This window comes from Homo sapiens, chromosome 6 (genome assembly GCF_000001405.40).
Source record: "Homo sapiens chromosome 6, GRCh38.p14 Primary Assembly".
Classification (NCBI taxonomy): Eukaryota; Metazoa; Chordata; class Mammalia; order Primates; family Hominidae; genus Homo; species Homo sapiens.
The window spans coordinates 28,327,071-28,343,026 of NC_000006.12; the positions used below are offsets into that span (position 1 = coordinate 28,327,071).

Sequence of the window (15,956 nt, forward strand, 5' to 3'; positions counted from 1 at the left end):
CCAGTGAGGATGTACATAAGCAGGCACTATATTATATTCATTACAAGGCAGGCACTGTTCTAAGTGTTTTACATATGTTAACTTTTTAAATCTCAAATGACTCTGTGACTGAAGTGCTATGATTATCCCCACTTCAAATATGCATAAACTGAAGGCACAGGGAGGTTACCTGACTTGTCCATTGTCACAGAACTATTAAATGCAGCGTTTAAATTCCAACCCAGGCAATTTAGCCCCAGAGTCCACAGTCTTAACTATCGCCCTATATAGACCCACCAGAGATCTCCTGAAGGGACCTGTCAAAATCCTTACCTTGTTCTTGAAATTGGTGGAGGCAAAAAGATTCATATCTGAGCTGTGTCACCATAGGCTGAAGCTGTATGTCTGTTGGTTCCTGCTTGACCTTCAGATGTTCCACATCCTCCAAGAGCACTTCAGAATGTCCATGTTCATGGTCTGGAGCCTGAAGGCAGGTAGGCATATTTGGTTAAAGAGGGGGATTATAGGAGTACAAGCTAATACTAAATGAAAGATATCACATGGAACTATATGAAACATTTTCTAGAGAGATGTCACAGTGGAAGGACCAGAGTTTAATTCATTACCCAAAAGCAAAACAGGGAAGAGTGGCCCAATCAAGTGTGGTGGTTTAAAATAAATCCACCAGGTAGAATCTAACTGCCCATCCCCAACCCCCTGAATGTGGGCTGTACTTGATAGCTCAACTCTACTGAATAGAAAGTGAGGCAGACGAGATGGTATATAACTTCTGAGTCGTAAAAAGTATCAGAGAATCTGTCCTGATATTCATGTAGGTTCTTTTCTATTTTCCTTAAGCGTCAGCCAGCTTGAGAAATAAAGGGACAGAGTACAAAAGAGAGAAATTTTAAAGCTGGGTGTCCAGGGAAGACATCACATGTCAGTAGGTTCCGTGATGCCCCACAAGCCACAAAAACCAGCAAGTTTTTATTAGGGATTTTCAAAAGGGGAGGAAGTGTGCGAATAGGTGTGGGACACAGACATCAAGTACTTTACAAGGTAATAGAATATCACAAGGCAAGTGGAGGCAGGGTGAGATCACAGGACCACAGGACCAAGGCGAAATTAAAATTGCTAATGAAGTTTCGGGCACCACTGTCATTGATAACATCTTATCAGGAGACAGGGTTTTTGAGATCAACCGGTCTGACCAAAATTTATTAGGCGGGAATTTCCTCTTCCTAATAAGCCTGGGAGTGCTATGGGAGACTGGGGTCTATTTCACCCCAGCAGTCTCAACCATAAGAGATGGCTACGCCCAGGGGGGCCAGTTCAGAGACCTACCCCCAGGCGCACATTCTCTTTCTCAGGGATGTTCCTTGCTGAGAAAAATAATTCAGTGATATTTCTCCTATTTGCTTTTGAAAGAAGAGAAATATGGCTCTGTTCCGCCCAGCTAACTGGCAGTCAGAATTTAAGGTTATCTCTCTTATTCCCTGAACAATTGCTGTTATCCTGTTCTTTTTTCAAGGTGCCCACATTTCATATTGCTCAAACACACACGCTGTACAATTTGTACAGTTAATGCAATTATTACAGGGTCCTGAGGCAATATACATCCTCCTCAGCTGACAGGATTAAGAGATTAAAGTAAAGACAGGCATAGGAAATCACAAGGGTATTGATTGGGGAAGTGATAAGTGTCCATGAAATCTTTACAATTTATGTTTAGAGACTGCAGTAAAGACAGGCATAAGAAATTACAAAAGTATTAATTTGGGGAACTAATAAATGTCCATGAAATCTTCACAATCTACATTCTTCTGCTATGGCTTCAGCTGGTCCCTCCATTTGGGGTCCCTGACTTCCCGCAACAAAAAAGCACTGTGGCTTTTTCCTTTCTCTCTCTTTCTCTCCTTCTCCTCTCTGGAGGAAGCCACCTGACATGTTGTGAGGGCACTCAAGCAGCCCCATGAAGAGTACCAACATGGTAAAGAACTAAGACCTCCTGCCAACAGCCAGTGAGTAGCTGAGGCCCCCTACCAACAATTGTACCAGTAAACCATCTTGGAAGTGGATCCGCCCACCTGAGTCTTGTCATCAGATGACCATAGTCTTGGCCATTAAGGTTTAGGGGTAATTTGTTACACAACAGAGAACTAATACATATAGCTATAGCCAACCAACCTGTGTCACCAAACCCCACCTTTCATTTAGTATTTAATGTCTAGAAGTCCATCTTTCTCCTCTCACCTGGTTCCCTGGCTCACTAAGCTCTTGTTCCAGATCTTCAACTACAGCCACAGCCTCCTCCCCACTCTCCGGATGGTGCTCCCGCACCCAGGCCTGGAGCTCCTCAGGCAGGATAGTCAGGAATTGCTCCAGCACCAGCAGCTCCAAGATTTGCTCTTTGGTGTGGATTTCTGGCCTTAGCCACTGATGACAGAGTTCTCGGAGCCGGCTCAGAGCTTCTCGGGGACCAGGAGTCTCTTGGTAACAAAACTGCCTAAAAAGTTGTCGGGAGGCTTCTTGGCCAGAAAAGTTGTTCCCTCGAAGGTGGGTTTCTTGGTCCCAGATAGGGTCTTCCTCCACTTTCACAATCTTAAGATCGTACTGTTCCTCTGTTGAAGCCATTCCTGGGGTTAATTTGGAAGGCTTACTCTGGCTTTAAGTAAAGGGATAACTGTGATTTAAAATTTTCTGATTTAATCTTCCTTAGGAGAAGACACCTGATGATAGAGCATTATATATTAATGGAAATAAATCATAAAGTAGTGGGGAAAAAAGCAAAGTATGGAAACATGAATGGTATTCTATCATTTATGTTAATAAAATGTATATATAGTTACTGACTTACATATGTTTAGCAACTGGGAAAAGGCTATGGCAGAGTATGTTAATGGCCTCAATTCTTCCCCCTTCCCTATAGCCATGTATTAATATTTTGCAGTGCCCTTCCATTGTGACACTGGATTCAACAATATGACTTGATTTTGCCAATGATATTAGCAAATGTGATGCATGGAGAGGTTTGAACAGTACTTATGTGACTGGGTTTGCTTACTTTTGCCCTCTGAAACTGCCAGAAGAAGGATATCTTTCAGATGATAAGAGACATGCAGGACAGAGCCAGATCACCCCAGTGGAGCAGATGAGACCATCCTAGATTAGCTGACAGCCAGCTAACTGCCAGACATGTGAGCAGGCCTAGCCTGAGGTCTGCAGAGCTGTTGAATGCAGATGTATAAATAGGGCCTGCCCACCCCAAGTAAGCTGTGCCCCATATACTTATGTGCTAAACATAAGTTTATCACTATATGCCACCAACGTTTTGTGGCTATTTATTATACCACATTATTATGGCAATAGATAACTGATATAGAAGGGTGAACCTCTGGGAAGCAGAATTAGGTAACTGTGGAATTACAAAAGCAAGAGATATTTACTTTTTGAGCACAGACATGATGCTAAAAGGAAATGCTCATTGGAGCATTTCATATTTCAGATTTTCAGATTAGGGATGTTCAACTGTTAAGTATAATGCAAATATTCCAAAATCCAGAAAAATCTGAAATCCAAAACACTCTGGTCCCAAGCATTTTGGATAAGGGATATTCAGTCTGTAGAAGTGATTTAAAAGCCTGGGCAATATGTGTATATGGTAGCTCTAGGAGGAGAACAGGATATATAAAACCAGCTATAATATCAGATGATGAATGCTATAATAGAGGCCTCACCAGAATATTCAGGGAGTAAAGAATAGAAAAAAGAATTTCTGACAGGGTATGGAATATTGAAAGAATGTGACTTAGGGGAAAGTACACTTGAATTAGACTAAAATCATGAAAAGGAATTTATCAGGCAGAGAAAGGAAGGTATCCGGCATCATAAATCAAGCAAACAACATGAGGAAAGGTATTTAAGAGCACACACAATGGCGATAAAGACAGGCAAAGCTGAACTATAGAATATGGGTTGTGGGTAAAATTGTGAGAGGAGATGAGGTTAGAAAGATGCATTATATGGGATAGAAAATGGCCTTCAACTCTAGGCTTAGACGTTAGACTTGACTTTATGGAAAACTGAGAGGCATCAAGGCTTTTATTTCATTGTTATGGTGTTAGATCTGTATTTATAGAAAATATTAAGATTCAGGATGGAAATGGTAAGAATATGTTGCAAGGTTGTGGCCATTTAAGTTGGGAAGTTTAATGGTAGTTAAACTGATACAATGTTGACTTTAGTGGTGTAATTTAAGTTTTATATGATTTTTGCCCAATGCTAATTGAATTATTAAGGTCTGAGATCACTTGGAAGTTTTTCAGTTACACTTTATTGGGTGAAAATGCATTTATTCAATTCATTCCAATATTATGTGTCTACTAGGTGTCTGGAATAAAGGAACGGTCCCTAACTTTATGGTATTTACCATGGGAAAGACAGACCTTAATAAAATATTCACATAAAATGATGTTACAGAATTGAGAATTTGAAGAGTTACAAAGATCATGGCATTTATTCTTTGTCAATGTCTAATGCCAAATGTATATCTTTTTACTCCTTACTGTAGCATCTGGTAATTTGGTTTGTTGAGTCTTCAGTGCAGAAGACTGAAAGTCTGAAAATTTCTAATTATGAATTTGTATTGGATTCCATTATTATTAAACATGTAGCTTCTCATGGCCTTAGGTTTATAGGCAAAAATTGTTCTGCAAATATGCGTTCTGCACTTTAATGCTATTGAGAAACCATGGAGATACAGTTGGCTTTTTTTGTTTTTTGTTTTCTTGATCACTACAGGCAATCTCTCACATACCCAAAGCCACAGGTGGAGTATTTCTCCATCAATTGTATTCTTCTCCCCATAATTGGTGCTTAGGATTTACCTCCTGGTCTTATGCCACCATGAACTGTCTTTATCCTTAATGCATAGCACAGTGCCTGGCCCACTGTCAGTGCTCCATAAATGTTTTCTGGGCAAATAAATATATTCTCCCCTCCTATATCCCCTTTCACTTCATCAAGCCATGGTAAGGACAGGGAAAGGAACACAGAAGGGAAAATACACTCTTTCTTCTTGTCCCCCAAACCACCCCTGTTCCCAGGATGTATATGCATTACCCTGTGTTCCCAGCCAGTCCTCCCATCTCTTCCTATCTCCTCTCCCAAACTGCTACAGATTACAGACACTTCTTATTTTTAAAATGCCTAGAAGACTTAGAAGTCTGGACTTACCACAAAATTATGAACGCATCTTCAATGTTTTGTTTACCTGATTTATTCGATTAAATGCAAATTTGGTGTCATCTGATATCCTAGCAGGGAACAAATACTTGATAGACATCTGACAAATTAAATGGAATAAACTATTTAAAATGATCTTTACTGAAGCACTGCAGTACAGTGAATAACGTTCAAATCCTGTGGCCTCTCTAAGTGTTAATGACCATAGTACTCCTCTTATAGGTGTTATGATTATACAAGGTAACGCATATAAAAAGCTTAGCGCAGTACCTGGCCCATAGCAATCATTACATAAATATCAATGAGCAGGTATTATTAGTAAAGTAGTATTAGTAAATTGAATATCTTCATTTCATAGAGGAAATAGACCCAACAAAATAAAATATTGACTTCATATGTTAATAGTCAGTAGACAGTTGAAAATACTAGAAGAAATATTCAAGAAAATCCAGGACAGACTGTGACCAGTGGTGACCTCCCATTTGTGTACTGAAGCCCATCTCTAGATACCACCAGGGGTGTCCCCCTGAACATCCCAACAACAGCTCAAAAGCAACATTAAAGATTGGATTTAGATTTCCAGGGTGATATGAAACAGGCCAATTTATGATTAATTACCAAATTGACTCCAAACATTTGGCATTGGGAGATGATATATAAAAGGGGATAAAGAGAAAGACATGGCCAGCTACAAATACAAGACAAAAATCTCAGTGGACCAGAAACACAAACACAGAGTAGTTAGTGGAGTTGATGACTTGACTGCAGAAACAGTCAAAGACATCCTAGAATTCAACTCCTGGGGGATTAAATGTGGTGTGTCTCAGGTTGTAGGGAACCAGGCTCACTGTTTCATTCCAGGACCTGCAGTGGACTTCCACACTCATGAAAGGGAGACAGAAAAATAAAAGGTAGTTGACTGCTGACTCAGCTTATGACTTTATCAGCAACTAAGGCCCAGGAGGCAAGGGACAAGGAGAGACTCATTACTAGTAACTAACCTATTTATTTGCTCATTTAGTCAATAAATGTTCATTGAGCACTCATAACATACCAGGTACTTGGCTGGGCATTAGGGCTACAATGGTGAAAAAGACGGGACCAGGCCCTGTTTTGCTGGAGCAAACATTTTAACGGGGAAGACAAACCAAAAATAAAAGCAACAACAAAAATAAGTAAGGAGGCAAATAAAATAATTATGAGTTGTGATGATTACTGAGGATAATAAACTAGGCACTGAGTTACCAAATAAATGGACAGCCTATTTAGATGGGGTAGTGGGAAGTGAGGTAACATTTAAGCCAAGCCCTTAAGTGCAAAAGAAGTGAGCCATACAGAATAGGGATGAGGGAGGGGAAGAGCACTCTGGACTATCCAAAGGCCCTGAGGAAGTGCATGCTGCCATCAAAGACAGGAAAGGAGGCTGGAGTGTCTACAGTCATGTGGGAGAAGAGTGGCAAAATATTAGGCTGGCAAGCCAAGCAGGAGTCAGATCATGTAGGGCATAGGAGTTAGGATTTTATAAATGCAATGAGAAACCACTGAAGGCTTTAAGAAAGGGAGTGACAAGGCTGAATTCTGTACCGAGAAGCTCTGCTACTGGATGGAGAATGAGCTGAGGGAATGAGGGTAGAGGCAAAAGTGGAAGCAGAAAGCAAGAGTAGAAGCAGAAGAGGCAAGAGTTAAAAAAAAGGGTAAAGTGGAGGGGGTGAAGACTATTGCACTGAATCTAGAAAGACTTCCACTTAGTTTAGATGTTACTGTACAAGTGAAAGGAGAAAGAGCTTAACCTTTGTAAAAGCAGTTCAGTCACTGGACAATCAATTTATGGAGCTGAGCTAAGAGCTTGGAATATAGAGGTGTTTATAGCTCATGAGGATATAGTTACAATACAATAAAATAAAAGCCATAATTTAAAAAATGTATACAAGGTATACCCCTGGAGGAAGTGGAAGAGCTCATCCTAAATACAAGATTAAGTTTTTATGCATTGCCTGTAATCCACAAAGGAATTCATTTCACATATATTTACTAAGTGTTTACGAGGTGTCAGACAGCAAAGAGTGAAACAATGCAGAATTTGATGTGTCCCCACTGTCCTTCACCGAAATAAAAACATGGCAGAAAGAGCATAAAAGAGAATGTTTTCATTCATGAGAATGTTTTCATTCACGTCAGCATAATTAACAACAGCAACAAAGAGATCATGTAAATCACAAATCATGTGTGTTGTAAAATAAATCCCAAAGGATACCAATTACGATGACAAGAAAACAGAAGAAGACCTTAAATACCATGAGGAAACAGTCAAATCCAGAAATGGGGATGCACTACAGGAAGACTGGAAGAGCCTCCTTTTAAACAAGGCAATGGGATGGGAGGAAGGGAGGCAAAGAGTAAAATTGCCCTAGGTTAAGACTCAACTACATGCAGTGAGTGGTCTATGATTGGATCCTAGTTGGTACAAACAGGTATAAAAGACATCTGTGGGACAACAGGGGGTGGAAGGATTTAAACATGAACTAGGTGTTAGGTGAAGCGCCTACACTTAGTTGGGTGTGCTAATAATCTTGTGGTTATGTAGGGAAATGTCCCCAATTTTTAGAGATGCATTAGAAACTAGAGGTGACAAGTTATGAGGTTGGTGGTTTTTACAATATTTAAAGAAAACATATGCGACAAACATTGCATAATGTTGACTTATTAAATAAAAATTACGTGTATATAGGAAATAAGGCTTTTGACAGGGAGAGACCCTTCTCTACCTCTGGACCTCGGTTTCGCCGCAAAGCTCCGACCTCTCTAGGGGTCTCTCCCACCACCCTGTGAAAGGGCTACCTAGCTTGCCTTAGGTGGATAGCAAGGGAAGGGTCCCTGGAGAGCCTGCCCCCGCCCATGATTTAGTGTCTTATCCCCACATAACATAAAACTAAGCCTGGGGAAAAAATCAGGTTGCAGGCACCGATAAGGGAACTAGCACAGGGTGTTGTGCCTAGAGATATGCCCACGGCTGCATAGATAGAAAAACCTCGGGCCCATTTGGATAAAAACTTGCACAGAACCTCCAGCTCACTCAGATAAGGGAACAAGGCCTGACACATAATGCCTTTGTCCTTTGTATAGTCAGCAGGTTCCCAGGAAAAGTTTCTTCTCCTTTTGTGGGTATGGACACGGTGGGTTCTGGTAGGTTCCGGCAGGCGCTCTACTTTCCTTTATTAGGACTATAAGCCCAGCTTCTGTGAATCATCACCTCAGCCCCTGATTGGTCCGGGGCCAAACTTTCACTTCGGCTTCTGATAGGTCCTGGGCCAAGCTAAGCAGCAGCTATGAATCATCATTTCAGCTCCTGATTGGTCCCGGACCAAGCTGAGTCAAGCGTTCGCCAGGACAGCCCGCAGACTAAGCGCATTCCCTCTCCTTTCCAGTCCATAAAAACCCCAGAACGGGCCCCATAATGGGTACTCCCGGTCGGGACCCCTTCTCTGCTGGCAGAGAGCTTTTTCCTTTCGCTTATTAAACTTTCGCTCTAACCTCACCTTTGTGTCTGCGCTCCTTTATCGTCTTGGAGGCAGGACAAAGAACTCCGGGCGTTATCTCAGACAAAGAAAGGCTGTTTAATCTTCAGGATAAGGGGCGGGACCTCCACCTACTCCACGGGGGCTTCAGGCCAGTGAATGTGTAGGGGCGGGGGTCACGCCTGCGCAGACGTTCCCTCCCCGCCTACTCCAAGGCACAGACCTGAAATCTTCTGGGAACCTGGCGGGTCGCGACAAGGGGCCAAGACTCACCTTCGGGGCACCGGCAAGCTACGGAACAGGTGGCGGGGCTGCAGCACCCCAATGACCGATCAACCGCAAAGGCCGGAAATGCGTCAGCCGTTCTGAGCCCACTGGCTGAAGCCAGGCAACTCTTTCCTTTCTAGGAATTCCAGAGGTGGCTGCTGCTTGGTGACTCCCTTATTGCAAACCCCGGGGCCAAAAATCCCAGTCCCACTGGGTGCGAGGCGGAGAAATCCGGCGAGGCATTTCTATGGGGAGCGGCCCCCAGCATTTAGGAGTTAGATGGTCATCGAGACCCAAAACATTAGAGCCGGAAGGTGTTAGGAAGATATAAACGTAGAGAGCGAGTAACAGGAGGCAATTCCACGGCCAAACAGGTTTATTTACAGGAAAAGCCTGCGAAGAGTTCCAGTTAGGAATCTGGCTGAGATCCTGATCGCTTACAAGCTGAGGCTTTTATAATAAAGTTTCTGTTGGGGAGGGGTTGGGGAAGTGCTGGCTAGTTGGAACTGTTTGGACACTTTCCAACTGGGGACAGATGTGGTTAGGGCCGTTAGGCTCTGTTGCGGTTAGAGCTGTTATGCTCTGTTGAAGCTATGGACGGGGTTGACATTTGCTTTGTTTCTTGAGAACACAGTCATCAAGGTTGTAAAATGGCATCACTATTGTTAGTCCTCACAGAAGGGACTTCATACTTTTTCTGTCTCTAATACTTACCTATTCTTCCCCGAGTCTGTCCACTTCCTCTGGTCTCTTTGACATCACAAAGGAGAGATGGTAATGGTGGGGACGAGAATACAGAGTTGTTTTTGTTGTGGTTTTGTTATTTTGTGTTTTACACTCAAACCTCTGTCTTCTGGAATCCCAAAGTCTAGAAGAAGAGCGTGTAAACAAGTAACTGCGTAAAACAGACGTGCATGTGAAATGAAGTAAAATAAAATAAGTGCTTGTAAATCGATGAGAATAGCCTCTGGAACATGCTAAGTACGTATGTAGGAAATAAATGTATGTATTAGTTTGAATTCGTGGCGTGGAAGAGAGAGGAAAACTAATGGGGCAAAACAAGACTCAGCAGGAATCTGCCAGTGTACACTGGAAAAGGAGCAAAGGAAATAAATTTCTGGGAGAGGGAATCAAATGTACAAAAGCAGAACTGGGGTGAAATCCTTTGGTACATCCAAAGAACTGGGCTGATCAGCATGACTGGAGAGTGGTATATGTGGCAGGGGCACCAGCTCTTACTTTTTTTGGATCCCTAACCAAGGAATTTGAGCAGTCTGATCAAATTTACATCTAGAAATGTTATCTTGGCAGCCATGTGGGGATGGACTGTAAGGAAATGAGACTACAGGCAGGGAGACCAGCTAGGAGACTACTACAAGAATCCAGGGTAGAGAGAGTGAGGGCCTGAATCAAGGCAGTAGCAATAGAAATAGAGAAGACAGATAATACATGTTAAGAGGTTGAATTGATTTTTTACAACTCATTCATTAATTATATAGATTCCCATTGAATGCGATCTTTGTGCCAAGGGCTTGCTGGATATAATAATAATGAAGGACACAAGGTCCTCATCCTCATGGGGTTTATAATGTAACAAGGAATACAGACAGAAAGAGACCCAGCTTATACAATTCAAGAGACCTTATTTGAGAAAAGGAATACAAAATTACAAGTACAAACATAGATATGAAAATGGAGACTTAAGTCAGGTGTAATAGCTCACGCCTGTAATCCCAACACTTTGAGAGGCCGAGATGGGAGGATCTCTTGAGTCCAGGAGTTCAAGACAAGCCTGGGCGACATAGTGAGACTCTGTCTCTGCAAAAAATAAAAAATATTATCCAGGCACAGTTACTCATGCTATTAGTCTCAGCTACTGGGGAGGCTGAGCAGGGATAATCACCAGCTGCAGTAGCCATGATCGTGCCACTGCACTCTAGCTTGAGTGACAGACTGAGACCCTGTCTCCAAAATTAAATAAATAAATAAATAAAGAAGGAAAAAGAAAAAAAACAAAAATGGAGATTTAGAATGGAAAATAGGCCAGGCGTGGTGGTTCACGCCTATAATCCTAGCACATTGGGAGGCTGAGGCAGGCAGATTGCATGAGCTCAGGAGTTCAAGACCAGCCTGGGCAACGTGGTGAAACCCCATCTCTACCCAAAATACAAAAATTAGCCAGGCATTGTGGCACATGCCTGTGGGTCTGAGGTGGGAGGATTGCTTGAGCCTGGAAGGTGGGGTTTTCAGTGAGCTGAGATTGTGCCACTGCACTCCAGCGTGGCTGACAGAGTGAGATCCCATCTCGAAAAATAAATAAATAAATATAGAATGGAAAATACATTCTTTACATCACATTACAATTTTTTTTGTAATTGTAATGATAATTACAATTACAAAACGAGACAGAACAGGGTCTCGTTCTGTCAACTAAGCTGGGGTGGAGTGGTGTGATCACTGCAACCTTAAACTCCTGTGCTCAAGCAATCCTCTTGCTTCTGCCTCCCAAAATGCTGGGATTAAAGGTGTGAGCTGCTGCCACCACATCCAGCTATACTACAAATTTTAAAGTCTTCCAAATATCACAAACAAAAATCAGAAAAATAACAAAATATTTTTATTATTTAACTGCCTGACTCCTCTATAGTAACTCTCCCCTAATTTGTTGGCTTTATGTTCTTGGACTGCTTCTTTGTATGTTAATTTCATAATTTAAATTTTTCTAGAAAGAATAAAAAGTTAATGTAGCCATTCCTCTAGCATGGTTGATCAAAAGCTTTTTAAAATTGTTGACATTTGAGTAAACTTCTATCAAGTTTCTTTCAATTATGAGCTACAAGATTTCAGGACATTCAAATTTTTTTATGTGGGGACTAATCTGAGAATCTCTGTGTTGATGACACATTAACTAGTTGGTCTTAGATGTCCTCATTGTCAATGGCATATTATGATGTCTTTGTCAATATCAGTATTTTATGTAAAATGTGCAAGAAATTTAAATCTCTTTTCAATGTGTTCAGTGATTCACTTTTCTTCACTAGAGAATTAATCCAAGAGCATATTTTTTTACTGTATTCAAAGTTTAGCTTTTTTTCTTAATGAGTTGCTGATTTTATATAATTTGACATTGTTTCTTTTGTTATAATTTGCTTCCTGATGTCAGAATAATTTCCATTGATTTTATTATCTTTATTTCTTTTGTTTCTCACATTCCATTAATTTTTTTTGGCAGGGGAGTGGGGAAGGAGTCATGCTCTATTTCCCAGGATGGAGTGCAGTGGCTCGATCTCAGCTCACTGCAACTTCTGCCTCCCAGGTTCAAGCGATTCTCATACCTCGAGTATCTGGGATTACAGGCATGTGCCACCACGCCTGGCAAATTTTGTATTTTTAGTAGAGACGGGGTTTCGCCGTGTTGGCCAGGCTGGTCTCAAACTCCTGACCTCAGGTGATCTGCCCACCTTGGCCTTCCAATGTGCTGGGATTACAGGCATGAGCCACCACGCCTAGCCTCCATTAATTTTTAAATTTAAATTTGCTCTCAGTTCTTTAATAAATTATTTAATTTTGTAATTTAGCATTTATTGCTTAAATCATGCCAAAATATCTTTTCAAATTGTAGTTAAAATGACTTATTTCTAAGATAGTGTCCCCTTACCAGATGCTAAAATTCTCTATTGTTATTTCAGTGCCACTCAACAAGAGAAAAATAAGAGATGGGGAGTCAGAAATGGAAACAAACAGTGGTTTAAACACCTGTTGCTAAAATATCCATTTTTTCCCCTCAAATTTTGCAGGCATATGAACCATGTAAACACATTGCTAGGTATCATTCCAGGCCAGGGCATTTGAAGAAACTGCAAGTGTAGAATCCATTTTTTCCCCTCAAATTTTACAAGCATATGAACCATGTAAACACATTGCTAGGTATCATTCCAGGCCAGGGCATTTGAAGAAACATGCAAATGTAGAATCACTTACACTTTATAGACTTAATCATAAACCCACTTCTGAATAAGTTAAGTGCTGCAGTGGAAATAGATAGGAATCTGATGACTGTTACAGTAATTACAATACCCATCTTTAATTTATCACAGCCTAATTGGAAATAATATTGTATCACTTCACATTTTAGTCTTAGTTGCATATTTAACAATTTACATTTCACATATAGACAGAAACTTATGACACTATTATTCCTTTGCTCTTGCCCATTGATATGGTTTTGCTGTGTCCCCACCCAAATGTCATCTTGAATTGTTCCCATAATCCCCACATGTGGTGGGAAGGGCCCAGTGGGAAATAATTGAATCATGGGGGCGGTTTTCTCCTTGCTATTCTCATGATACTAAGGTCTTATGAGATCTGAGGTTTTATAAGGGGTTTCCCCCTTCACTCTGTTCTCTTCTTCTCTCTCCTGCTGCCATGTGAAGAAGAACATGTTGCTTCTCCTTCTGCCATGATTGTAAGTTTCCTGAGGTCTCCCCAGCCATGCTGAACTGTGAGTCAATTAAACCTCCTCTCTTTATAAATTACCCAGTCTTGGGTATTTCTTTATAGCAGCATGACAACAGACTAAAACACCCATCTTTTGTAGTATTCTTATATATTTTACTTCTCTGTACATTATAACTGCCAGCTTAAAATGATATTATTTTTGCTTTAAATGATCACTTGTTTTTTAAGGAAATTAACTAAAAAGCAAGGCTTTTATATTCACATACATATTCACCATTCTGATGCTCTTAATTCCTTCTTGTAGATCTGAGTTTCCAGCTGTCACTTCCCTTCAGACTGAAGTTTTTTGTTTTTCTTTAGGGTTTGGTTTTGGTTTTGGTTTGGTTGGTTGGCTTGCAGTGCAGGTGCAAGTCTGCTGGAGAAGTATTTTTCAGCTATCATTTAATAGAAAATGTCTTTATTTCACTCTTATTTTTGAAGGACATTTCCACTGGATTTAAAATTCTGGGTTAGGAGTTACAAGAGAAAGATGGCAGAATAGGAAGTATTAGCCCTGTTCCCCTGCAGAAACGCTGATTAACAATTATATATGGATCAATATATCCTTATGAGAATTCCAGAATCAAGTTAAAAAGTTGCAGTACCCCAGGTGAGCTCAAATCCAAAACAGCTACATTGAAATTTCACTTTACACAATGTCTTAGTCTATTCAGGCTGCTGTAACAAAATACCTTAAACTGAGTAATTTATAAACAATAGAAATTCGTTGCTCACAGTCCTGAAGGCTGAGAAGTCCAAGGCCAAGGCAATAGCAGATTTGGCATAGAGTGAAAGCTTCTCTCTACTTTATAGATATGGTGCCTTCTATGTGTCCTCTTCTGGTGGATGGGGCAAACAGGCTCCCTCTAGCCTTTTCTTATAGGGCGCTAACCCCATTCATGAGGGCAGAACTCTCATTACCTAATCACTCCCAAGTCCTCACCTTTTAATGCCATCACCTTAGGGGCTAGGTTTAAACATAAGAATTTTGGGGGAACACAAACTTCAGACCATAGGACTCATGTCAGCCCTTCCCCCAAGTGGGCACAGCTCAGAGCTAGGAGAGAATGTCTTGGCTTATGACTTCTTCCTTGGGAGAAAGAAAAAATTGGAGCATGCATCCTCTGTTCTGGCTCTTTGGAGGGTGGCCCAAGGGACTGGTTTCTATCTTACCTCATTTGGAGAGCTGATGGAACTGTCATGGTTTGGATGCCTGGGGTCTGCTAAAAACAAAGAAAAGTTGGGGTAGCTTACAACCTGCATAAACAACCCTGAGAAATGGCGTGGGCAAAAGAATGGTCAGGGCTTTGCGTTGTTGGCATACACTGTAAGATGTGTAGGAACACAAAAGGCCCTAGAAGGAATGTTCTTCTAATTTTTTTTTTAGAATTTAGGTAGAAAACGTATTTATAATGACTTTGAAATAGTACAGTTGTTTTTGAGGACCACAGATGCATTGGAAGAAGGCAATGGAATTGGGTGATTATGAATGTAAGGCAAAGTGAAAAATTCAGAGACATCCCTGACACCATATAAAGAGTCTCCTTCAGCCAGAAGGGCAGCAAAGGCTGAGGATCAGGCCTGGGGCTCACCTGAATGTGTGGCAGAGCTCGAGAAAAGATGTCACATCCAGCAGGCCTGCTAAGCTAATGCCAGAGAGCTAATTGGAAAGGAATGGAACTCTGCGATTTAGGATAGGGATATCTAGGCCAAAGCACCAAAAAGTCTCGACTCCTCAGATTCTCCTGAACCCTGTGGACCTTCAAAAGTATCCCATTCCTCCCTAGTGTTCTCTACTTGCTTGAAGATGATGTGCCTGCTCAGGACACACCCCACCACCACACCTGGACACTACGTTAGTTCCTAGGGTTACATCACAGCAAAATCTGGCTAGATAAGTACTGGGTCTGCAAAGGGAGTAAAAACACTATCTACCAAAGTTGCAGTAGGACCTAGCCAACATGTAGTGTCAGAACCTAGGAACACACATATAGAATTGGATCCTAAGAGAGCTGGATCAACAGGAATCTGATATATAAAGTTGGATAAGAAAGAGTGTATCAAGATAGAGGCACTCTACTATGATTTAATATTCTGGCAAGGGCCCTGGGAGATGTTGCTTATATACAGATGGCTATTGTTTGATCCACAGTACTTTTTTAAAAATCAAGGGTAAGTGATAAGGCTGAGGGCAACTATCATAATAAAACATCTCAAGTCCTTCTGCAGTTTTTGGACTACAGCTAGTTCTCAGAACTGGCTGTGTCCCGAAGAGGAAAGACCATGTAGCACTAAACCAAATAGCATATGGAACATTTCTCCAACTCTTCTACAGAGAGACTGCAGTCAGGACATTTATTTAGTTAGATATATATTGGAGAAAGGGGGAATATCCAAAGCTTTTTAGGATGAACCTTTTACACAGTGTGAGTTGACATTGATACCTAGGTACCC

At 41.2% G+C, this 15,956-nt stretch overlaps 1 protein-coding gene across 24 annotated transcripts in view, besides 1 other annotated feature; it reads right to left on the reverse strand.

Annotated features, from left to right (window-relative positions):
- The window catches only part of ZSCAN31 (zinc finger and SCAN domain containing 31), a 31,535-nt gene that overhangs the window by 2,334 nt on the left and 13,245 nt on the right, over positions 1-15,956 (reverse strand). For 2 of the 24 annotated variants that reach the window (XR_007059330.1, NM_001243241.1), the window contains exons 1-3: positions 9,012-9,305; positions 2,233-2,644; positions 313-463 (exon numbers count right to left, since the gene is read on the reverse strand). Coding sequence is in view for 20 of the 24 variants with exons in the window: in NM_001243241.1 (NP_001230170.1) it covers positions 313-463; positions 2,233-2,613 (532 nt within the window). In the remaining 4 variants the exon portion in view is untranslated. Of the gene's footprint in view, positions 1-312; positions 464-2,232; positions 2,709-5,214; positions 5,324-8,285; positions 9,306-9,719; positions 9,874-10,685; positions 10,824-14,675; positions 14,726-15,956 lie in introns of those variants that run through there. The other 22 variants (XM_005249295.2, XM_047419256.1, NM_145909.3 and 19 more) reach the window with 21 other exon arrangements.
- Positions 8,624-8,743: an enhancer, noted in NCBI's record as "active region_24353". NCBI's record gives its function as "activates an Ori minimal core promoter by ATAC-STARR-seq in GM12878 lymphoblastoid cells {active_cell/tissue: GM12878}" and the evidence as "EXISTENCE:reporter gene assay evidence [ECO:0000049][PMID:35858748]".